The 24,552-nt window shown below is 35.0% G+C and overlaps 1 protein-coding gene across 3 annotated transcripts in view; it reads left to right on the top strand.

The window, feature by feature from the left end:
- NUDCD1 (NudC domain containing 1) overlaps positions 1 to 16,912 on the top strand; it is a 93,169-nt gene extending 76,257 nt beyond the window's left edge. For all 3 annotated transcript variants that reach the window (NM_032869.4, NM_001128211.2, XM_047422330.1), the window contains exons 9-10: positions 12,350 to 12,509; positions 14,530 to 16,912. In NM_032869.4, coding sequence (NP_116258.2) covers positions 12,350 to 12,509; positions 14,530 to 14,822 — 453 coding nt within the window. In that variant the 3' untranslated portion in view covers positions 14,823 to 16,912. The remainder of the gene's footprint in view (positions 1 to 12,349; positions 12,510 to 14,529) is intronic.
- The last annotated feature ends 7,640 nt before the right edge of the window (positions 16,913 to 24,552 follow it).

The raw sequence follows: 24,552 nt of genomic DNA, 5'->3' as shown, positions 1-24,552 counted from the left end.
ATATGCTATCTATGGCTACTTACAAACTACAACAACAGAGTTTAATAATTTTAACAAAGACTGTATGACCTTTAGGCCTGAAATATTTACTGTCTGACCCCTTAAGTTTGCTGATTCCTTCTTTAGACAGTACTATACTGGCTTGATTACTGTCGCGTTACAGGGAGTTTCCGTTCAGATGGTGTTAGTCTTGATTTTTTTTTCCTAAATAGGTTTGGTTCTTGTAAAAACTTTACAATCAGCTTTTTAATTTGCACAAAAATGGCTATGGGGCTTTTAATTGGAATTGTGTTGGATCTGCAGGTCAACTTGAGGAGAATTGATACTTTAATGATATTGAATCTTCTGATCCATAAACATTGTCTCTTCATTTATTTAGGTTTTCCTTAATGTGTCCTAGCAGCCTTTTGAAGTTGTCAGTGTTATATTTAATCCCGATATTTTGTATTTTGGAATTCTAATATAATTAGTATTTTTTAATTCCCAATTTATTTTGTGTATTATGTAGCAACAGTGTTACTTGACTTTATATTGTAACTTCGATAAATTATCTCTTTCCAGTTACTTTATTGTAGATACTCCAAGATTTCAGTGTACAGGGTAGTATCTGTGAATAAAGACAGTTTAACTTCTTCTTTTCCAATCTGCATACGTTTTATTTCTTTTTCTTACCTTATTGTACTAGCTAGGATATTAGATGCAATGCAGATATCAGTGATGAGAATAGGAATTCTTGTCCTGTTCCTAATCTTAGGAAGAAAGATTGAGTGGTTTACCATTAAATATGACATTAGTTCTAGAGTTTTTATTTAAGTAGAAGTCATGTTTACCTAGTTTGCTGAGTTTTTTTTTTCTTTATCATGAAGAGGTGTTGAATTTTTAAGTGCTTAGTTATGGTGTCTCTTTAATCTCCTGTAATTTGGAATAGCAAGTTAACCAACATTTTTAACTTTATTTTGTACTTTTTTTATAGATTATCTTTTAATTAGATTGTATATCCTCATCGGGTTCAGATGTTGCATTTTTTTTTTGCCAGGAATACTACATAAAAGATGTTTCCCTTGCAGTGCATCACATTAAGAGGAACTTGGTGTCATTTTTTCCTTTTCTTGTGGTGCGATATTTCATTATGTGATGTCTAGCAGGTTTCTGTAATCTAAAGTTATCTTTCATTTTGAATTAATAAGTACTTTGTGTGAAGATCAAAGTAATCTTTTTAAAGGATTTAGTAGATTATGTCATTTCTCTATTCCTGTTCTCCCTATAGTAGGCTTCCTATGTGTTACATTTAGAATAATTTTCAGTGTCCTTACCATGGTCTACAAAGAACCTTCCAAGTTTCTGCAACTCACTGTAGGTGATACGTGTTTGAGACTCAACACATGCACACACACATCTGATGCAAAAGTTTCACAAAACAGTACTATCCTTATTGTATGAGATGTACTCTAATATTCTTCTGTGGTATTTTAATGAAATAAAATAGAAAATCCTGTTCTTGATCTTCTAACTTGATTTTGCTACCAATGTGGAGACATAGTTTAAAAGAACACTGCCATCCAGTCCTGATTATCTTATTTTTCACCATTTTTTCCTAGTTCAGTTTTCTGGGTTGTGTTTTGCTTTGTGTTTTGAGACGGGTATCGCTCTGTCACCAAGGCTGAAGTGCATGCTCACTGCAGCCTAGACCTCCCAGGATCAAGCAGTCTTCCCACTTCCAGCCTCTTGAGTAGCTGGGACCACAGGTGCATCCCAACACGCCTAGCTAATTTTTGGATTTTTTGTAGTTGTGGGATCTCACTGTGTTGCCCAAGCAGGTATCAGACTCCTGAACTTTCAAGTAATCTTTCCACTTCAGCCTCCCAATTGCTGGGATAACAGGTGTGAGTCACAGCACCCGGCAACTAGTTCACTTTTCTTTAGCTGCACTGGCCATTATGCTGTTCTTCAAACCTGCTGAAACATGCTGTTCCCTTAGAGTCTTTGCATTTGTTATTATCTCTGCCTGAAATGTTCTACCTTTTCTCACTGTTTCCTTACTTTATTCCTCTTATTCTCTTTATTTACCTCTGTTCATGTTGTCTTTTGTCCCCTATTAAAACATAACCACATTATCCATCTTCTCACGTGCTTTTTTCTTTTTTTTTTTTTTCTGTGTGGAACTTTCTATTTTCTGATATGTATCTGTGTATTTATTTTATCTGGTAACATTTATATGTATCCTCCACTGGAATAGTCAGTAAAATGTTATGATACATCATAGTTAAGACCTAATTTGATAATTTTCAAAAAATGAAAAAAAAGTATCAGTTTTAAAAAATATTTCTAAGTAATAGTTATGTGGCTTTTTAAAGTAGAAATTTAAGTGCATTTCCACCAGTTGTATTTTATACCACTTAGCTAAGATCTGACATCTTCCTATGCTTCAGTCTCTAGTCAAGGTAAAGAGATATTTAAGTATATAGGTAATTTAATGGGTGTTCAAACCAAAAAATGCAACCCAGGATTTACTTCTTTTCCATATTTTTTAGACATCAATTTTATATACAAAATAGATGAACAACTTATCTATACAACTTAACTGACAAAACTAGATTATAAGCATATTTATAGTATGTGAATTACTGTATCTGAACTAGTGTCTAGCCAGGGACACATTCTGGTGGTTAATAGTCGCTATAAAATGGACTTTGGGAGAACATGCAGGTGGTGGTAAAGAACATGAGTTTGGAAATATATCTGAATTTAAATTCTAGCTACCAGTTGTTAGCTTCTTGACTTAAATCTCTGAACTTACCAAGTTTGAGTTTCCTCTTTTAAATGGGATCATATTCTTAATTCTCAGTTAGCAAAGGTTAAATAAGGTAGTAAATACAGATCAGCTAAATACTTGATGCATAGTAAGAACACAGTAAATAATTTTTACAATTTATTCTGTGTACAGAATATGAATTTGGAATTAAAGTTTCAATCTGGCATCCCAATACATACCTTCTGAGTAGATAAAACCTTTTTATTAATATTATTTTTAAATTTAATTTGGTATTAGAAGTGATTAAAAGTTGTCTAAATGTCTTCACTTTGACATTTAATCTTCAGTAGTCTTTAATTGCTAAGTGTTCTACAGAGAATAAGACAATTAATTGACTATTTGAAATGCATGCCAAATTTTCCCTAGAGAATATTTTACTCTAATTGTAGTCTTCATTCAAAGACTACAAAGGTAATTCAAAGGTAAATATAACCTTTTCTAGAGTAAACATAAGATAAGAAATGTGGAAGTATATTTTATTGCCCAAAGGATTTATGGAGTTTAGAGTTGGTTTTTATGCAGTAAGATATTTAGTTGGTATTAACAAGGAATGAATTTTCCAAATGAGTAAATTGCCTAAATAAGTTAATTTTTTCCATTCAAATACCAAAAATATTTAAAGCCTTCTTTTCCCCCTTGGAATCTTACTAAAATGTATTATTTGCCCAACATCTTACATAAAGCATTCTGAAGAGAAAGTAACATTTTGTTGATGGTTACATATCATCAGAATGAACATTAATTACCATACTTTGTATTTCTAGGTAATTACCATTAAAGGTATTTGAATTAAATGGGAGTCTTTGCCTACTTCATTTAAAAAAATGTCTTTTGTGTTTGTTTCCACTGCTCATAAGCTATTGGCTGCTTCATCTCACCTCTGGCAGTGCATGTACCCAAAGCCACAGTCCTTCTCTTTCTTATTTCCTGTTTTGCTCTTGGCTACCAAGTTGTAAACTCGATGGAATTTTGTTCACAGTCAGAATAAATAGTTCTCTAGTGAAAAATGGGTTTTGTGGCACCTGTTCTTGACTCAGGAACCTTCTGAACATCTTGTACTTTTTTCTTCCAGGTAATGGCCCATGCTAGATAATGGATAATGTTTTACTTCCCCTGTTTTCCACTTCAAATTATGATGCAATATCCTTTTGTTATTCATATATTTTTTCTTTTTCTCATATTGATATTTTCTGTGTCTATAGGATTATACAGTAAGTATACTTTAATCGTGCTTTTTATCACACTTCATTTTAATTCACTTAGCAAAACTAGTTATTTTAGTCACTTTACTTTTTAATTTTAATTGTACTTTGCTTTTGGAAGAAAGAGCAAAGTACAATGGTACTGGAAGTACAATCGTTTTGGAAGAAATCCTGTTACCTAAACTTTTAGAGGTTGCAGGCAACAGAGAAAACCTTTGGTTATCTCAAGTCATGATGTGAGCATATATGGAGCCTGTGAGGAACAGTGGAAACAATCTCTTTAGATCTCATGGATAACTAAGGTCATTTTGGAAACAAATTCACTGGCAAGTCAGGCCTAAAGGAAACGTGGAACATTGTTTAGAAAATAGCACAAGTTCTGATGACCAGGCGATCTATTTGCCTCTTGATAATCAACTTGTTCTCTAAGTCAGTTCTGTGCTATTATGATCACATTGCCATCTTCTGTATTTGCTTCTGCTGAGCATACTTCTACTTATTGATCACTCCTTTCCTTTCTACATCTTATGGTTTCTGCTTACTGTACTCTCTAGCTATGTCTTCTGCCTCTCTTCTTAGCTTGAATTGTTTATTTTTTGGTATTTAAACTTCCTGAACAAGAGGACTTTATTGTTTTGGCTAACCACCATTCAGTATGGGAAGCATCTGTTCGAGAAAACACTTCATCATAACCATTTTATAAATCAATAGATTAAAGACGGTTAACTTTGGATTAGATGCCAACCCTTGATTCTGTTAGCAGAAGCCAGGGAAGTGGGTTCCTATAGTACATGGGTTGGCTACTTGTATATTTGGAACCTCTTGTAGATATTGAATTGTCACTGGTCTGTTGATTATAAGTTGAAATCCTAAGCTTTTTAGGCAAGTTAATAAATAGTGATCAAGGAAATTCCTGCTTTTGCCTAAAATGTAGAAAGTTGGAAAGATTGTCACGCCCATTGTAATAAAATAATGCTGGATTATTTATGGAATCATAACTTTTTAAAGACTCATCAGAAAGCTGAGCTTACAGGGCAGCCAACAGCTTAAAATCTAAGGAAAAGTATGTCAAGAAGAGATGAGATAGGGACACTGGTTCACCTGAACATTGGAGGGAGACAGGAGGACTGCCATGTAAGTGGGTAAGAAGGATTCAACTAACAGATTGCTAAAGACGTGGTGTGACCCGTAACTGTCACCTAGCATTCACAGACACAAGGGAAGTTGCTCACACTTAAAGGATCTTCTTTATGGACCTTGGCGAGGGCAGGACATTAGAAGATGTCCTGGTTCAGAATTGGATTAAAGGGGTGTGTTCTCTGCTGTGGGAAAAGTATGAAGTCTTGCCTGCACTGTTTTTTTTTAAGTATCAGCAGCCTAAGCTGCTGAGGGAAGAGTGTCAAATCTTAGCTTGCCAAGGGTTCAGAAGAAGACCCATTGCAGCTAGAGGAAAAGATAAAGAAAAACCTCAAAACACCATCTCTATGCCTTGAGGGGCAGAAAATCATCCAGGTTATTAGAAGTCTCCTACCACTGGAGGAGGGCAGTATCTCTGAAAAACCTCAAAACCTGAAACTGAGGTCACAGAGTACTGAGGCTGAACCAGACAGTAGAGAATGCTTTTCCTTGACTCCCCAACCCACATCCCCCTCACCATCAGGCTAGGAAGCACATCAAGCAACAAGTAACCACAGCCTACCACTAGAGAGGAAGCAAGAGCATAGACTCTGAGGTGAACATGCACAGTGAAGGCCTAAAGCTTGGGATGGAACAATACCATTGAGGAAAGTACTCGAGCAAAACTGAGTAACCTATGAATTATAGTGGAACTCAAAAGGAAAGTTAAAACATATTTTGTATTGAACGAAGATGAAACATGGCACACGTGGAATACAGCTAAAGCTTAGGGGGATATTTACAGCATTACATGTTATACTAGAAAAGAAAAAAGTGCCCCAATTTAGTACTTTAAGCTTTCACATTAAGAAACTAGGAAAAGAAGAGCAAACTAAATCTAAAGCAAGCAGAAGGAAGAACACTGTAAGGATAAAAGTGGGAACCAGTTAAATTGAAAGAAGGAAATAATAGAGAAAACTAATAAACTAAAAGCTAGTCCTCTGAAAAGATCAAGATTGGTAAGTCTCTAGCCAGACTGAGGAAAAAGAAAACACAAAGTATCAACATCAGGAATAGCACTTAGGATGTCAATGGAGATCCTAAAGACACTAAAGTGTAACCAATGAAGTCTTATGCACAACTATATTTCCATGTATTTGACAATTTATATGGAACAAATTTTTTAAGCTGCAAAATTACTAAAGTTCACTTAAGAAATAGATGAGACCTGGCCAGACACGGTGGCTCATGCCTGTAATCCCAGCACTTTAGGAGGCTGAGGCGGGTGGATCACGAAGTCAGGAGTTCAAGACCAGCCTGGCCAAGATGGTGAAACCCCGTCTCTACTAAAAATACAAAAATTAACCAGGCGTGGTGGTGGGTACCTGTAATCCCCGCTACTCGAGAGACTGAGGCAGAGAATTGCTTGATCCTGGGAGGCAGAGGTTGCAGTGAGCCGAGACTGTGTCACTGCACTCCAGCCTGGGCGACAGAGCGAGACTCTCTCCAAAAAAAAAAGAAAAAAAAAAAAAGAAATAGATGAGACCTTATTAGTTATATCTGTTGAAGAAGATTAAATTCATTTTTAAAAACTTTCCAACAAAGAAATCTCCAGCCGCAGATGGCTTCACTGGTTTATTTTACCAAATGAAGAAACAATACCAATTCTCTACAAACTTCTAGAAAGTTGAAGAGAAAGGAACACTTTCCAACTTACTTTATGAGGCTAGCATTACCCTGATACCAAAGACATTAAAAGATGAGAAAACAGGAAGGAAAAAACTAGTATCCTCCATGAATACAGACACAAAAATTCTTAACAAAATATTAGTAAATGAAATCCATCAATAAGTAAAAAGGAAAATTACATTATGACCAAGTAGGGTTTATTCTGGGAACTCAGAGCTGATTTTGTTATTCAAATATCATCAATCAGTATAATTCACCATATCAACAGACTAAAGAAAAATATTTGATCATCCTAGTAGTTGCAGAAAAAGAATATGAAAAAAAAATACCATTCGTTGATGATAAAAATGCTGAGCAAACTAGGAATTGAAAGAAACTGCCTCATCAGAAACCCTAGAGTTAACACCATACTTCATGGTAAAAGACTGAAGGCTTCTGCTACAACTGGGAACAGGCCAAGATGTCTGCTCGCATTACTCCTGTTAAGCATAATGCTGGGAGTCCCAGGTAGGCAGTGAGGCAGGAAATAATAGTGAAAGGCATAAACAGCTATCAAGAGATTCTAATACCACCATGAAAAAAATGAAGCCAAACACCTTTTAGGCATTATCTTAAAATAATGCTCATGTTCAGTTTCTTTATCCACTCTTAGTTTGGAATCTTTGAATTGTTTTCCTTTTGTGGCATCTGGCCAACCTAAGAAGTAGCAAACATCTGGCAGTGGCAAAATCTTTATTTTATTTAGCTGTATGAAATACTTAGTTTTGAAGTAAAAAATAGGGAAGCTAGAATTTATTTAATAAGTAAAATGAGTATCACATAGTCTCTTACTACATACAGAAAGAAGTAAAGAATTCAACAATTCTTGCCAGGCACCAGTGGCTCACACCTGTAATCCTAGCACTTTGGGAGGCTGAGGCAGGAGGATTGCTTGAGTTGAGTTCAAGACCAGCCTGGGCAACATAGTGAGACCCCTCATCTCTACAAAAAATAAAAAAATTCCCCAGGCATGGCAGTGTGTGCTTGTCGTCCCAGCTACTCAGGAGGCTGGGGTTGGAGGATTGCTTGAGCCCAGGAGGTCAAGGCTGCTGTGAGCCATGAATGTGCCACTGGACACCAGCCTGGGTGACAGAGTGAGACCCCATCTCAAAAAAAAAAAAAAAAGAATTCAACAATTCTTTATATATCTCATTTTTTAATGGGATTCTTATGTCTCTCCGTAAATTATATGTAGTTACTGCCATCAAAAAATTGACTAGTTTGTTTACTTTGGATTTTAAACTTTAAGGTACTTGGTTTTGAGTATATGTTAAAAATCCAAATCTTATTTGAAACATGACTTTGTCCCTTTTCAGGGGCAGATCCATTTACTGAGGAATATATGCATTACAGGAATATATAAAATTGAAAGCAATAAGCATACATTTGTAACCACTGATAAAAATAGAATTTATATGACAAAATGACAAGTAGAACAATGAATTCTGTATTTCTCATTTTTGAAATGGTACAAGAGTATAGAAATTTGTCTCAAATATGCTGGGATTAAGACAGAATAAGTGTATGTTATTTTTATAGCTATTTACACATTTCTGAGACATAAAATTGTATAAGAGCTGTAGCTGTGAGCTACGGGAAGATTACTTGAAAGCTGCTATGCTTTTCTGTCAGTGTTACTCATCTCATTCTTAAAATTTGAAATGCCATTAATATACAAAACAAAATGTTTTAAGAATGCTGGAAGGGTAATAATTAACATTAATACTTATTAAGGGCTTTCCTAGACAGGTAATAATCAACATGAACACTTATTAAGTTCTTTCTAAGCTTTGAAATATATTGTTTACTCATCATAACAATTGTGAAGTGAGTAGTAGTTACCATATTTATAAGGGGAATAAAATGGTTTAAATATCCTACCCAAAGTCATAGCTATCACCCTCAAAGAGCATATAAGTGAAATGAAGAGACAAACTCTATAGGAAAAGTATAAATAATTAGTTGCAATACACAATTTCTTTTTATTAGAATTAGGGAAAACTTCCTTGGAGGAGAAGATGCCATTTGCATATGGCATAGAGTGTATAATGGACAGGATATGCAACAGGTTAAAAAAAAGCATGAATAAAGGAATGGGGAAATAGGGGAGACAGTTTTGCAAATTGTGATCCAGTTTTGCTAAATGTTATATTTTAAGGAAAGTAATAGTGAATATTGAAAAGTATGCTGGGGTCAGGTTTCGAAAAGCTTTCAAAATGCCATTTAAGGCAATGTGGACCTTTTTTTTTTTTTTTTTTCCAAACAGTGGAAAGCTATAGAGGGAAATTACTGAGAAACTAACATTTCTGGAAGTGAGAACTAAAAGGCACAGAGAACTATGTACTAAGTCTAGAAGCTCTTGACCCTAGTCACCCTCTTGTTAGGTTAAGAACCTAATTATGAGATTTTTGCCTTACAGAATCTTCAGCCAATTATTCTAACTGTAAAATAGATAATTCCCAAATCTAAAGATAGATTAGCCTTGGTGAAGATATTACAGAAATAATCACTTTTTACATAACATTCATTTAAAAAAATTTCTTTACAATTTGGAGAAAAAAGGGCAGACTTCTAGTTCCTAAGAAGAATTAGTGTTGTGAGATGGGTGGTATGTTAGGTTGCTGTTATTACTGCAACGAATTGCTGCAGGTGTAGTGGTTGAAAACAACACAGACTTATTCTCTTACAATTTGGGAGGTCAGAAGTCCTAAAGTGGTTTGTAGGGACTACATTCATTCTGGAGGCTCTAGGGGAGAATCCATTTCCTTGCCATTTCTAACTTCTAGAGGCTGCCTCCATTACTTGGCTTGTGGCCGGGCCCATCCTGTGTCTTCAAAGCCAGCAGTATATCATCTTCTAAACTCTGTCTATCCCCTTGATTTTGTTGTTATCTCACCTTCTGTGTCTGTGGCCCTCCTCCCTCCCTAAGAATACTTCTTAATACATTGAGTCTACCCACATATTCCAGGATAATCTCTCCATCCCAGGACCTTAAACTTAACCACATCTACAAAGTCCCTTTTGCTATATAAGGTAACTTATTCACAGGTTCCAAGGGATTTAGATGTGGACATCTTTGGGGGACGTTATTCATCCTGCCACAGGTGGTATGTAAAAATATTAATAATCTAATATAATATGATAAATAATTTGATAGGAATAACATACATGATGCTGGAGTTCTCAGAATTCAAGCAGCTCATATAACCACGAGAGTGGGGGAATTCTGAGAGCAACTGATGGTTGAATTGAGTCTTAGAGGATAAGTGGGAATCTATCAGGTAAAAAAAATACAAGGAGTCCAAACAGAATGCTATGTCAAAGGTATGGCAAAGACAAGCTGTATGAAATTGCTAGTTTCACAATTAACAACACTTGACACAGTCGCCATAATGGAAATATGCGTAAGGTAAGTGGCTGCTGAAGTGAAGAAACATCTAAGTCAGAGTGAGGGGCTCATAATAAGGCACCTACCTTCATTCTTATCCTCTTATTTTCATGATTGATCTCCCTTGGTGGTCACCTTTCACTTCGTGGTTCAAGGTCCTCTATTCTTTTCTCACTGCTGTCTCTTCAAGTATGGATGGACCAGAGATCATTCAATTATATTAATCCTCATAATATTCAATACATTCTTTAGGCACTTGGCTCATGAAAGTAGATGTATTGTTGTGAAAATATTGTTTCAACTTGTATTTTATTTTAGCTGTTGTTTATTTTTCTTCTGTGAAAGCCCTTGGTTAAAAAAAATAGAGTATCAGAGTTGGAGTACAGGGAAGAGAGCTGAAGCAGTGTTAGGTCTGTCAAACATAATAATAAAAGGCCAGTTAGGTAGTGGTGACTTTGAAAATAAACCTCATCTAGCCACTGATCATCGGGAGTAAGGAGAGAAAAGAAATAGTCTGTGGTCTCTGTGTGCTGGCCTTCTCCCCTTATTTTGTAGAGAGCAAGCACTGGCTCTACGAAAAAGCCCTATTTCCCTGGCATTGCTGGGGAGCAGAAGATGGGTTGCTCTGACACTGTATTCTCCTGTGACCAATAGCCTGTGTTGTCACAGCTTTACCAATAATAGGTCCCCTTGCTGGAGAGCCACTTCACAGCTTTCCCTGTTGAATTCAGGTCAGGTCTCCACTTCTTACTTTAACCCAATCTTTTACGGTTCTCCAGTCTGCTTGCAAACTCCTAGAATCAATTACATATTTATAAGTACTGTGCATATTTTATATTTTCTACATTTGATGTGATTTTTGTTGGTATTCTGTTTCGTATTTTCAACTCTGATAATAACATTTCTCATAAAGAAGACTATCCTTACAACATGTCTTCATTTAGAAAAAGTATTGCTGTAGATGAAATTCAGTGAGTTTCAATTTGATGATTTTGTATTAAAATGCATTTCTTTAGGCATCAATATTGCAGTAACAATTATTGATGTGTTACAATAACAAATGTTGACATTATTGACATATTGACATTGATACTTTAATTAAGCAGTACGTTTAAGTAAATAGTTTTAAACATCTGAGTGTGAATTCCAGCATTGTGATATTTCTCTTTAGCCTAGAACAAGTTACTCAAACTCTCCAAGCCTGTTCTTTCATCCCTTAAATGAAGATAATAATAGCCTTGCGAGTTGTTAAGATTAGTATTTATAACATGCCTGGTTATAAATGTTATGAGAGTGTGCTCATAAATTCTGGTAGTGTCATTGTTCTTGGTAATTATTACAAGTTAGCATTAGTAAACTTCATGTGTGTATTCTATGGCCTAAAAATAGTCTGCTTATAAAATTGGTGCTTTATATCAGCAGTCCCCAACCTTTTTGGCACCAGGGACCAGTTTTGTGGAAGACAGTTTTTCCATGGGCCTGTGGGGGCTTGGTGGATGGTTTCAGGATGAAACTGTTCCACCTCAGATCATCAGGTATTAGTTAGATTCTCATAAGGCAGACAGCCTAGATCCCTTGCATGTGCATTTCACAATAGTGTTCACCCTCCTGTGAGAATCTAATTCCACTGCTGATCTGACAGGAGGTGGAGCTCAGGCAGTAATGCTCCCTTGCCTGCTGCTCATCTCTTGCTGTGCGGCCCAGTTCCTAAAAGGCCACTGACTGGTACCAGTCTGCGGCTCAGTGACTGGGGACCCCTGCTTTATATCGTGTTTTAAACTATTTACTAACAATTAAGAGGTGGTATATCACGTGGTGATTAAGAACATAGACTCTGGGTCCAAATTTCAGCTCCATGACTTATGGCCAGGCTGACCATCGACAAGTTACCTAAATGCCTTGTGCATCACTTTCCTCAGCTTTGAAATGAACATAACAGTAGCACATTTATCTCAGGGATATTATGAGGAGTCAATCAGATTAAGTATATAAAAAGTATAAAACAGTTGCTGACACTTAATGCTGGCTGTCAGCTTCTGCCATTGTTATTGTTGCTATTATTAATTTGTTGTTGAGTAAATTTTTTTTTAAATCACTTTTTAGGTGAATCTTGGAAGCAACCAGTACCTTTTCTCTGTCATAGTGGATCCTAAAGAAATGCCCTGCTTCTGTTTGCGCCATGATGTTGATGCCCTACTCTGGCAACCACACTCCAGCAAACAAGATGATATGTGGGAGCACATCGCAACTTTCAATGCTTTAGGTATAAAGCAAACTCTTTGACATTTTCCATGAAATCAGAAATACAGTCATCATTCATTTAAAGTTCATTTCTTTTTTTTCTTTTTAATTTGAGCTGTCCTGATTACATTTAGATTGATTTGCGCTATGATTTGTTTGCTTGTACTAGTTGTGAGTGTTAGCACTGTTGGAACATTTAGACTAATCTGTTTTTATGCTTGTACAGAAGATCAACACAGAATAGAAATGAAAGTGGTTATCTAACCACTTGAATTATTCTAATAAGTCATTTGCTTTTTCTAATTCTGTAAGCCATATAATACTGGAGTCTGAGCAAGGAGCTTGATAATACCCTACATGGAACTGGTGTTCAAGTTTCTTCAGAGTAATCTTCAGAAACATCATAGAATTCCCCTAAGGTGTAATGCACATTAGGAGACATCTTTTGTCAAAATTAAGTACAAAAGAGAGCCATTATAATGAAAATACTTATGGAAAGCGGTGATAAGCAGAAATTAAATTTATTTGGTAGGATAAAAGGAAAAAAATCAGTTTTAAAATTAGGGCTTGACAATGTTTAAACTACTTAATTATAGACGTATGCAATCATTGATTTTCTGTCAAAATGCATTAGTATTGTGTGACAGAAATTTTTTATGTGAATTAGCCACAGTTGTTGCTTTATTGAAAGGTTATTTTAAACAGGCAGCAAGAAGTGAAGTTACGTATTTTGATGGCTATATGTGCACAACCCTAATTGTAGAAGAAATTTATTAATTATCCCTTATAGTTAATAATGTAGGCTGCTAAACTGGTTCAGACTCCAAATGGATTTTTATGACCTGAAGTACAAAGTTTGGTTAACTAATTTAACCATATAATTTTTAGCCTCCCTACTATAATGCTATTTTTTAATTATCTATACTTTGGTCAGAAGAAAGCTCTATCATATCATCTTTAGATGCTCAGATGTTCTATTTGTATCCCCAAATCCCCTATTATAGGGGAATTCTATGCTTAATTCTAAGTTAAATCAACATATATTAGATATGTACTCTTGAAATATTATATACATTATTCTGTCAAGGTTAGCCTGGATAGCTACTTTAAACTATTTAAATAGGTATCTAAATCTTCACTTTTCCTGCTTCAAACCTGCTTAATATTTTTAAAAACAGTATTGATCTGCATGTGCTCAGTAGTTCCTTTGCTTATTCATTGTTTGATGAGATCTCAATTTTAATTAATGTTATATTCTTATTTTACATGATCATAAATACCTAACATTTGCTAACCATGTCACTATCTAAAAATCATAATTTATATTTTGGAATATAAATGTTGTTTTAATCCAAAAAGATACTTTTTAAACATGTACATGAATTAAGATAAGGATTTTTTTCAGTTTAGAGACTTGAAATTATTTTTGAAGTTATAGTGATCAACATTCTACTTGTGGGGGCTAAAAGTACAAAAAAATCCAGTTACAGTGTTGGTATTGATGTATAAAAATATCACTAACATTTTAGGGATAATAAGAGAATGCATCACGAATACTAGTACATTCAGGGATACATTATGAACAGAAAACTAAAATAACTTTATGATGGTATCCTATACACATTTTCCAATTTATTTAAGAGGAAAAAAATGGTTCTGTGATGCCCTATCCGTAACTCACGAAGCTAAATATTAAATTGGCACTTAAAGATATTTTGTCATGTATTGAGTGTTTTAGATTTTAGAATTTTAGTGTTCGAATTATTCGTGGAAATTAAATGAAGCTATATTACGCTTTTTTTGAAGCGAGAAAGCCATATCTGTTTTGTTCCTTAGGAATTAAAGTCGTATTTTTGTACCAGATGGGAGAGACTGATTGTGGCTAATCGTTAATGATTCAGAATTATATACCTTATGGTATATATTTTACTTGGGCATTTTAATTTGTAATAAACATTGCAAAATATTAAATGTTAAATCATCATTTTTCCCCTTCTGTTTAATATATAGTTTTTCTTTTGTTTGTCTCATATTCTTGGCAGGCTATGTCCAAGCATCAAAGAGAGACAAAAAATTTTTTGCCTGTGCTCCAAATTACTCGTATGCAGCCCTTTGTGAGTGCCTTCGTCGAGTATTCATCTATCGTCAGCCTGCTCCCATGTCCACTGTACTTTACAACAGAAAGGAAGGCAGGCAAGTAGGACAGGTTGCTAAGCAGCAAGTAGCAAGCCTAGAAACCAATGATCCTATTTTAGGATTTCAGGCAACAAATGAGAGATTATTTGTTCTTACTACCAAAAACCTCTTTTTAATAAAAGTAAATACAGAGAATTAATTATTCTAACATATTGGCCTCTTTGTACTGGAAAAGTATTCAGTGGTACCTGGAGGTCTGGACAGTTATACTGTAACCTCTTAAGTTTTAATGTGCTAAATATATCTTGTATGATTTTTTATTTTTTAATAACATTGGAAATATATTCAAGAGATTATGATTCTGTAAAGCTGTGGAATGAAGCTGCAGATTTAGAGAACATTGGCTTCTGAAAAAAAAAAAGAGTGAAGATAGTACTAGCAAGTATACTTATTTTTTAAAACAGGCTAGAATCTCATGTTTTATATGAAAGATGTACAATTCAGTGTTTAAAAATAAAAATATTTATTGTGTACTCTGTTCGTTGATTAGTTGCTACAGGCTGTACCTATAAGATGTACAGGATAATAGTTAAATGTTGAGTATTGTACATATGTATTTAAGTGGATTGAATAACTGAGTCTACATGGAGGAGGAAATGCTAGAGAACAGCAGGTCTAATATTTTTTAAGTTTACTGAGAGACCTTTATTATTATTTTCAAATTAAGTATAGCTTTATGTAACTTTTAGCCAGTTGCTCTGCCACAGACATAGACAAAGAGAGATAAGATTTCACATTATCCATCACTGCATAACAAACCACACCAAAACTCAGTGGTTTAAAACAAGGACTTTTATTATTTTTCACGATTCAGTGAGTTGGCTGTCTCTGCTGTACAGGGCCTCTCAGCCTCCAGTAGACTAGACGAATCTTCTTTCCATAGTAGAGAAAACATCTTAAGAGAGCAAGCTCCAATATGCAAGAGCTTATCGATCCTGTACATCTATCATATTTACTAATGTTCCATTGGACAAAGCAAATCACATGGCCAAGTCTAGAGTCAGAATGAGGGGACTACACAAGCTGACAGCGGATGGTATGACTCATTGGGGGCCATTGATGGAACAATCTTACCACACAAGGACAAATTATAATTTATCCTTGTGGCTCTCTTTATTTTTCTAACAACTTCAACAAAATAATCCTGTTTATATGTTATAGTTTCTTGCCACAAATTTTGTTTTTTCAAACTTACCTTTCCAGGTTTGTTTTAGTATGTATGTACCTGGAAATTTTTATTACTTTTTATACCATTTCAAGATATGTATCTTATATAAACCTCAAGTTGGATTTTATATTTTAATAAGGAAGTTAAGACCTTCATTTAAGAGGCAGAAGATTAAGATAAGAAATATAAGATAGAAAAGCTTTGTTCCTAACATATCTTTTGCCTGTCTGGGCAAGTATTTGACTCAACTAAATTTTAATGAACGAATGAATGACAGAGAGGAGGAAAAAAGATGAGGATTGCATACATGTTCTAAACCCTTTGTCAGATTGCAGTTTCCTAGAGAGTATTGAGGTGCTAGGTAGAAAGTTAGGAAAGGTCCTGAGGACTGGTATTGACAATTGGAGTCCTAATAGTACTCTATTCGTATTAGGAAAGAGAGACTAGATACCAAACATCACGAGATCATAGAGATGGAAAACTGTATAGTAACCAAAAACCAAAACAGTGATATTTCCAGAACTTTTTAGTATTGTTGTAAAACTTCATGAAACAAAAGACCATTTAAATAGTGAATTATTAAAAATCTTTATGATGGGAAAGTAGATCTAAATTTTCTCTAAAATTTTCCCCAAAGATAATATCCTCTTAGGGAACATAAGAAAAATGTATAATAAAAATGTGGTGCTTAATTAACCATGACTATGTATATATTGCCAATTTTAGTAATCAATATTCTTTGTGCATGTGATTTTTTTGCATGATTAATGTTGAATTGAAAGCTCTCAGGATAATTAATCCTAAATATTGTCGCATGTTGACCTACGTTAAAAGATGAATAGGTCTAGAGCCGTGATTTCAAGCTATTTTCCTGAAATGCTTCAGGGATTCCATAAACATTTAAACAATGTTCTAAGGTACATATACTTAGAACATTGAGATATATACTACAAGTGCTAAGAATATAGTACCTTGTATTTTTGTTGATTTTTATCATGTTTTAAATAGGAATTTATAAAATATTTATGATAGTAATAAAGTAGTATTTTATGTGTTTTGCATATTAAGAGTCATTAACAATATTCACTCTTTTAACACATTTAAGCATCAACTATGTACCTTAGCATGATTTTTTCAGTATTAAGGATAATATATTACTAAGGATAAAGAGACAATCTACATTTTAATGATTTTCAGATAAAATTTCTTTTTAGGGAAAAAAAGAGGAGAGGGTGGCATAGAGTGGTTGCTTTCCTGCTAAGGAAGTCTGACCAGGGCTAGAACCTTGGGGACTACCCACAAGAGTCAGGTAGAGGAGTTGCCAATGGGAAGAGTTAGAAAAAAGAATCAGAGTGTCAAGAAATTAGGAATGGTTAACAATGTTAAAAAAAATACTCTTAAATAAAGTATACTCATCAAATTTCTACATAAAAGGGAAATGACTGTACAGAACAAGTTAAACCATCATTACACAGGAATTTCTAATATTTTGTGTTATTAACTATAGAAAAGAACAGATGGTAAGTTTATGTGTGGCAAGTCATATAAGAAGGCAAAACTGATACTTATCACTGATTATTACTGGAAGAATATTCTAATTACTTCTTAGTAGTAAGTGTGTCTTACTGAACAAGTAATAATAGTTGAGTGGTAAAAAACAAAAGCCCAATGATGGAAGTATAGAAGTAATAAAGCAAAGAGAAGTAAGGCCTTCTAGAATTGGTAAGAAAGAATAAATGCACAAAAAGAGCCAAGGTAAAAGGTACCCAACTAGATATCAAGATACATCATGAAGCAGTAAAAAGAGTAGCATCATTGCATTAGTAAACAAAATAGACACACATTTAATCGTCCTATACTTACAAGAAGAAAATATCTATATTCTCAAGGTTGAGAAGGCTTCTTAAGATCCAGAAGGCAAAAATATAAGCGAAAGGATTGATGAATTTGATCATTACAAAATGTAAAATTTCTTTATGACCTACTTTTGGTATAAGATAAAGCAACAGACTGAGGAAAGATATGTGACTTATGCGTAATGTATGAATGTTAAAATCTAGAACATAAGAACTATCATTTAATAAAAAAGCAAACAAGTTATACAAAAGGAAAGCAGACAAAAGATATGAACAGTTAATTCACAGAAAAGAAAATAAAGATGGTCAGTAAAGCTACAGTAATCAAGAAAATGTGGTATTGGCACCAATTTCAACAAATAGATCCATAGATCAGAATAAAGAGTCCAGATGGAGACTCAGACACATATGGTCAGTTGATTTTAGTCAGAGATATTTCAATGAAGAGGCAATTCAAAATGCAGAGATAATTTGATGGAGAAAAGATATATTTTTAACAAGTGGCGCAAAAACAATTGGGTATTCATTTTTGCCTTTGTAGTAGCCTAAATAGTGGCCACCTGAAGATATCAGGTTCCAATCCCTGGAACATGAAAATATAACCTTATGAAGATAAAGAGTCTTTGCAGAAGTGATTACAATGAGGATCTTTACATGGAAAAATTATCCTGGATTATCTGGGGTGGACCCTAAATCTAATTGCAGTGTCCCTTACAAGAGAGAGGCAGAGTGCAATTACAAACACAAAGAGGAGAAGCTTATGTGAAGATGGTGTTTAAAAGGCCACAAGCCGAGGAGTGCTAGAGCATGCTGGCAGCCACCAGAAGCTGGAAGAAGCAAGGAATAGATTCTCCCTCAGAGCCTCTGGAGGGGGAATGGCCCTGCTGACACCTTGATTTTGGTCTTCTGGCCTCAGATCTGTGACAGAATGCATTACCACCGAATTTGTGGTAAATTCATTACAGCGGCCATAGGAAACTAACACAGCCTTATATCAGAATTTACTTAAAATGGATCATGGACCTAAATGTAAAACCTGAAACTGTGCAACTTCTAGCAGATAACATAAAGGAAAAATTTTGTAAGGCTGGGTTAGGCAAAGATTTCTTGCATATGACACCAAACAAGAAAAGTGACAAATCATACTTCATCAAAATTAAGAAATTACGTTCTTAGGCAGTGTTGTGACAATGAAAAGCCACAGATTTGGAGAAAACATTTACAAATCACTATTTAATAAAGCACTAGTGTCCAGAATGTATAAAGAACCCTCAGAACTCAATAATAAAATAATCAAATATGTAAATTTTTTATTGGGCCAAAATTTTGAACAGATACATCATACAAGATGAATGGCAAGTAAGCATGTGAAAAGGCACTCAACGTTATTGGTCACTAGGAATGAGCAGATTGAAAGCACAATGCGGTATCACTACATAGCTATTGAAATCCTTTAATTGAAGACTGACCATTCCAGATGCTGGCAAAGGTATGAAACAAATGGAGCTCTCAAACACTGCTGTTTGGAATGTAAAATGGTAGAATCGCCTTTGAAAAGAGTTTAGTGGTTTTCTAAAATGTTAAACATGGATCTTCCATGTGACCCAGCTATTCCACTTACCCATTCTTTTACCTAAGAAAAATGAAAGTATATGTCTATTCAAAGATTTGAACAGAGCAACAGCATTCATAATAATCAAACCTCAGAACAAGTCAAATATCCATCTACAGATGAAGGGCTAAATACATTGTGCTATGTCCATGCAATGGATTATTACTCAGCAATAAAAAGTATCAATATACCCAACATAGATGAATTGCAAAGTAATTATGCTGAGTGAAAGAAGCCAGAGTACATACTGTATGCTTCAACTCAAAGTTCTAGAAAGTGCAAACACATAGAAAACAGATCAGTGATTACCTGAGCGGGAGGGATTTGAAAGATTATAAATGGGCAGAGAAACATTTTAGGTAAAGAGATATCTTCATTATCTTAATTGTGGTAGTTCGTGAGTGTATATATACACAAGTTAAATTTTATTAAAAAGTATACCTTAAGCATTCCATTTTGCACATCAACGCCTCAATAATGCTTTTTAAATTTGTTTAAAGATTAAGTATTGAATCTTATCAAAATTTTCTTATTGATTTAATTTCTGCTTTTTAATTTTTTTTTTCTTGTGTTGCAATGGCATTTTAGTGCATGTTTCCTATATCATGGGGATCAGCATCCCTTCCCTTTTATCTTGGAAGTATACCCATTCCCCTTATTTTGGAAGTATACCATAATTTCTTTCTAAGCCAATATATTTGTGTGTTACTGACTCTGTCCTTGGTACCATGTATAGAGAACATTATTAAGGCTAAACCAGTCAGTACTTTGCGAAAGCAGAATCCCTGGTCACAGTGACTGGTTCATAAATGGGCACTTGACCCATTTAGAAACAGTGATTCACAGTGAGAATTTGCAGTGATTTCTGGGACAAAGGCTTACCACTGGATGTAAGAATAAAGGGATATAAACAAAACCCCATTTGTCACTACAGTAAGGTGAGAACTTCTCAAAATAGGGAGCCAACAAAGGATGGCACTAAGAGACTGAGAAAATGAACCTTGATAATATAATCTAGTCCTACCAAGCAATTCTTAAAACCAGCTGTTCTTAGAATTTTGGATAATGGGAGTCATTAAGTTTTCTTTTTCCCTAAGTCAGTTTAGGTCAGATTTTCTGTTACTTGTACTCAGAAGAGGCCTGATTCTGTGGTGGAAAATTCTTTTAATGTATGATTATACTGTGCACATTGAGACTTTATTCTAGATTTTTACATCAGAATCTATGGATGAGAATTACTGATATTTTAATCCACATAGGGGTTTAATAGATAAGTTACAAGTGCTTTTTAAATGGGGGAATTTTTTTTCACTTTAAAATAGTTTAGCAACTCCTCAAAAATGTATATTAATGAAAATAAATTTGGAAGAAGTTTCTGTGGTACCAGGGAGGGAAGATAAAAGTAAATGTACTTTCAATCCTGAAGCTCTATTTTCTGACTTCAGTATTTTCCATGCACCCAGTCTACAATTTTTTTACTCCAAACAGGAGAAAAAAAAAATCTGTAACATATTACATTTTTAAGCCATTTAAATTTTTTCCACTTCTGCAACTGACTTTTTTTTAAGTGTTTGAGATTCACTTTTAATGCTTGCCAAAATATCCAATATGAATCTATCTCATAGTGCAGGAAAAAATGATATCAGGTGAATATTGAAGAAGATTAAACATATTCTTGACATTAGGATAAATATTGTTCTCATATCTGCCATCTATGTTTTTCACAAAGAACATGTAGTTTGGCCTACAAAATTAATACAGTCACTGAAATTTATGAAATGAAGAACTCTCAAAAAACTATTCTTCTGAAGTCTTTTACTAAGTAGTAAATAAGCATTCAGTGTTTTTCCTTTATCTACAAATATACACCTACTTAGAGGAAAAAGAGAAGGATGAAGATATCTTAGTGGAGGCACAAGGCAATATAAGCATAAAGCATACCCCTACGTAGGTTGATATAATAGGAAGTTCATTAGTGGTGCCTCAGGAACCCAGCTGGAATCAGGTGTGAGGAGAAATAACTGAGATTGCAGCCAGCACGGAAAGCTGCTTTGTAAGAGTCTGGCAGTTTTTCAAAAGGTTAACAGTTACCATATAACCCAGTAATTCCTCACCTAGGTATATATCCAAGAGTAATAAAAACCTGTACACACATGTTTATAGTAACCAAAAAGTATAAACAAACCAAACAGCCATCAACTGACCAATGAATAAATAAAATGTGGCTTATCCATACAGTGGAATATTGTATAGCAATAAATGATGCTACAACATGGATAAACCTTGAAAACATTATGCTAAGTGAAAGAAGCCAGTCATAATAGGCTACAGATGGTAGGATTCCATTTATATGAAAAGGCAGATCTCGCTGGGCATGGTGGCTCATGCCTATAATCCTAGCACTTGGGGAGGCTGAGGAGGGCAGATCATTAGAGACCAGCCTGGGCAGCATGGCAAAACCCCACTTCTACCACAAAAATAACAAATATTAGCCAGGTATGGTGGCACATGACTGAGGTCGGAGGATCACCTGAGCCCAGGAGGTCGAGGCTGAAGTGAGCCATGATTGCACCACTGCACTCCAGCCTGGGCATCAAAGTGAGACCCTGTCTTTAAGAAAAAAAAAAAAAAAAAGCACATCTATAGAGACAAAGTAGATTAGTGCTTGCCAAAGGCTTATGGGCTACAGTGGGGAAGGAATGGAAAGTAACTGCTAATGGGTATAGGGCTTATTTTGGGGGTGACAAAAATTGATTGTGGTGATGGCTGCACAACTCTGATTATACTAAAAACCCTTGAATTATACACTTTAAATAGGTGAGTTGTGTAGCTTGTGGATTCTGTTTCAATGAAGCCATATGGAAACAACAACAGCATGAGAAAAGAGCTAAGAAAAAGATTCTGAGATCATCTTCCATGCTAAATATGAATGGATTTCTAAAAATGTATTAGTATTTTTGCCTTCAACTTTGTTGAAACAACATATTTTTAAAGAAATTTGAATTTTATGGTAGGGAAATTATTCCTACAATTTTATTAGGGAAACCAGATAAAGTGGTGATACCCTCTCTTGCCAAAAACTCTCAGAGGAAATACTTTTCCTATAATATTATGAGGAGTTATTTGGACAAAACATTTTCTTGATTTTTATTTTTGTTATTTTCTTCTGATATTTACGTTTCATCTAAGACTATGTGAGTCTATAGGAAATGATTTTAAGCTGTCAGCATTTTTGTTCTTGTTAACATGCAGTCTATGAAAACCACAGAAAACACTCTACATATCTTGTTTAGGAGTGCATTCACCAAAATTGCAGTGATCCTAGAAAAATGTATCTACTGACTTCAGGACCCCTATGAGACATGTGCCATCTAAGGGGTTTTAGCGTTGGAGTACATTTTGATATTTAAAGTTTTTCTGAACATGTTATAGTTTAAATTAGCACCTCTGAGTTTATCATTCATAAATGATAAATGTTCCATAATGAATAACTTAATCCAATAATAAGAATTACGAGTGCTTAAATGTCCACAGTCTAGTTGAAAATCCTTGCAGTGGGCCCAGGAGAAATATCACAAATTATATTTAAGGATGTGAGGCCTGTTAGGGCCTTGGAACAGGGGAAAAGCATTAGCAGGAATGTTCATGTACTCGAGTTTCTCATGATCTAGAACTTCTAATTTTCTTTGTCTTTCTCTTCTTTGCTCCCTCTCTCTTCCTCCCCTTCATCCTTTGTACTCTCATCTGTCCCCCTCCTTTTCCTCTCTCCTCTCCACTTCTCGCTGGCAGCTACTGCCTTGACAGAGTTTTCCCCCTCCCTTAACCCGGACACTCATCTGCCATACACCTACCAGGAAAGATCTAAGATATCATCACTAACAGAAAATACTGTAATGAGAATGCATGTGACTGCTGATATTTTCAGATCACCTCCTTAATACATAAAGAGCAAAATATATCTGTTTATACTTGTGTTAGCAGAGAGAATTGTTAGCATGGAAAATTCTTTGTTATCAGTGTCACATGGCAAAATGACTGTGAAAAACTAATACTCCTGTTACTGTGGGTGAAGGTCTTAGATAATGAGAGATGCTTGACATGTGAGCAGAGAGCAGAGTATGGGGAAGCAGTTTGAAAGAGGAGATTGGGCATCAAAAGGGCCAGATCTCATAGTTACCTAGTCGGCTTTATTACCAATATTACACTATGTGTGAGAGGAAACTGTATTCAGATTATTCTTGTGCATAATTATGGATGTATATATGTATATATACACATGCACATATATATGTATATACATTCATAATTATGCACAACAAAAATAATCTGCAGTTCAGACCTCCTGGGCTCCTTGTGTGTGTGTGTGTGTTCCTTCCTTGATTACACATTTCTTTTTAGCTGAAGAATCGCTTTGTTAGATTTCAGTATGCACATTTTATACATCTTGAAGAGAAAAAAAGACTTCAGATTTTGTAAACAGGAAAAGCAAAATGTTACATGGTCAAAGGAGAGCTCAAAGTGTTTTAAGCTCCTTATATAAAACACATCAGAAAGTAAAATAATAAAATACAGGCAGTTCCTCCTTGTATTGCATTTCACAGATTTTGCATTTTTTACAAATTGAAGGTTTATGGCAACCTTGCATAAAGCAAGTCCTTTGGCACCATTTTTTCAATAGCATATACTGACTTTGTGTCTCTCATATTTTGGTAATTCTCATGATATTTCAAACTTTAGTATTATATGTTATAGTGACTAGTGATTGGTGATCTTTGATGTTTCTTTTTTTTTTTTTTTTTGAGACGGAGTTTCACTCTTGTTGCCCAGGCTGGAGTGCAATGGTGCAATCTCGGCTCATCGCAACCTCTGCCTCCTGGGTTCAAGCAATTCTCCTGCCTCAGCCTCCCGAGTAGCAAGGATTACAGGCGTGTGACACCACGCCTGGCTAATTTTGTATTTTTAGTAGAGACAGTTTCTCCATGTTGGTCAGCCTGGTCTTGAACTCCAGACCTCAGATGATCCACCCGCCTCGGCCTCCCAAAGTGCTGGGATTACAGGCATGTGCCACCACGCCCAGCCCAATCTTTGATGTTTCTATTCTAATTGTTTTGGGGCACCATAAACTGCACCAATATGAGACAGTGAATTTAATCTGTAAAGGCTGTGTATGTTCCAACTGCTCCACCAAGTGGCCCTTCTCCGTGATCACTCTTTCTTTCTTTTTCTCTTTTCT

The sequence above is a fragment of the Homo sapiens genome, chromosome 8, assembly GCF_000001405.40.
Source record: "Homo sapiens chromosome 8, GRCh38.p14 Primary Assembly".
Lineage (NCBI taxonomy): Eukaryota > Metazoa > Chordata > Mammalia > Primates > Hominidae > Homo > Homo sapiens.
This window is presented reverse-complemented; position numbering and strand designations above follow the sequence as displayed.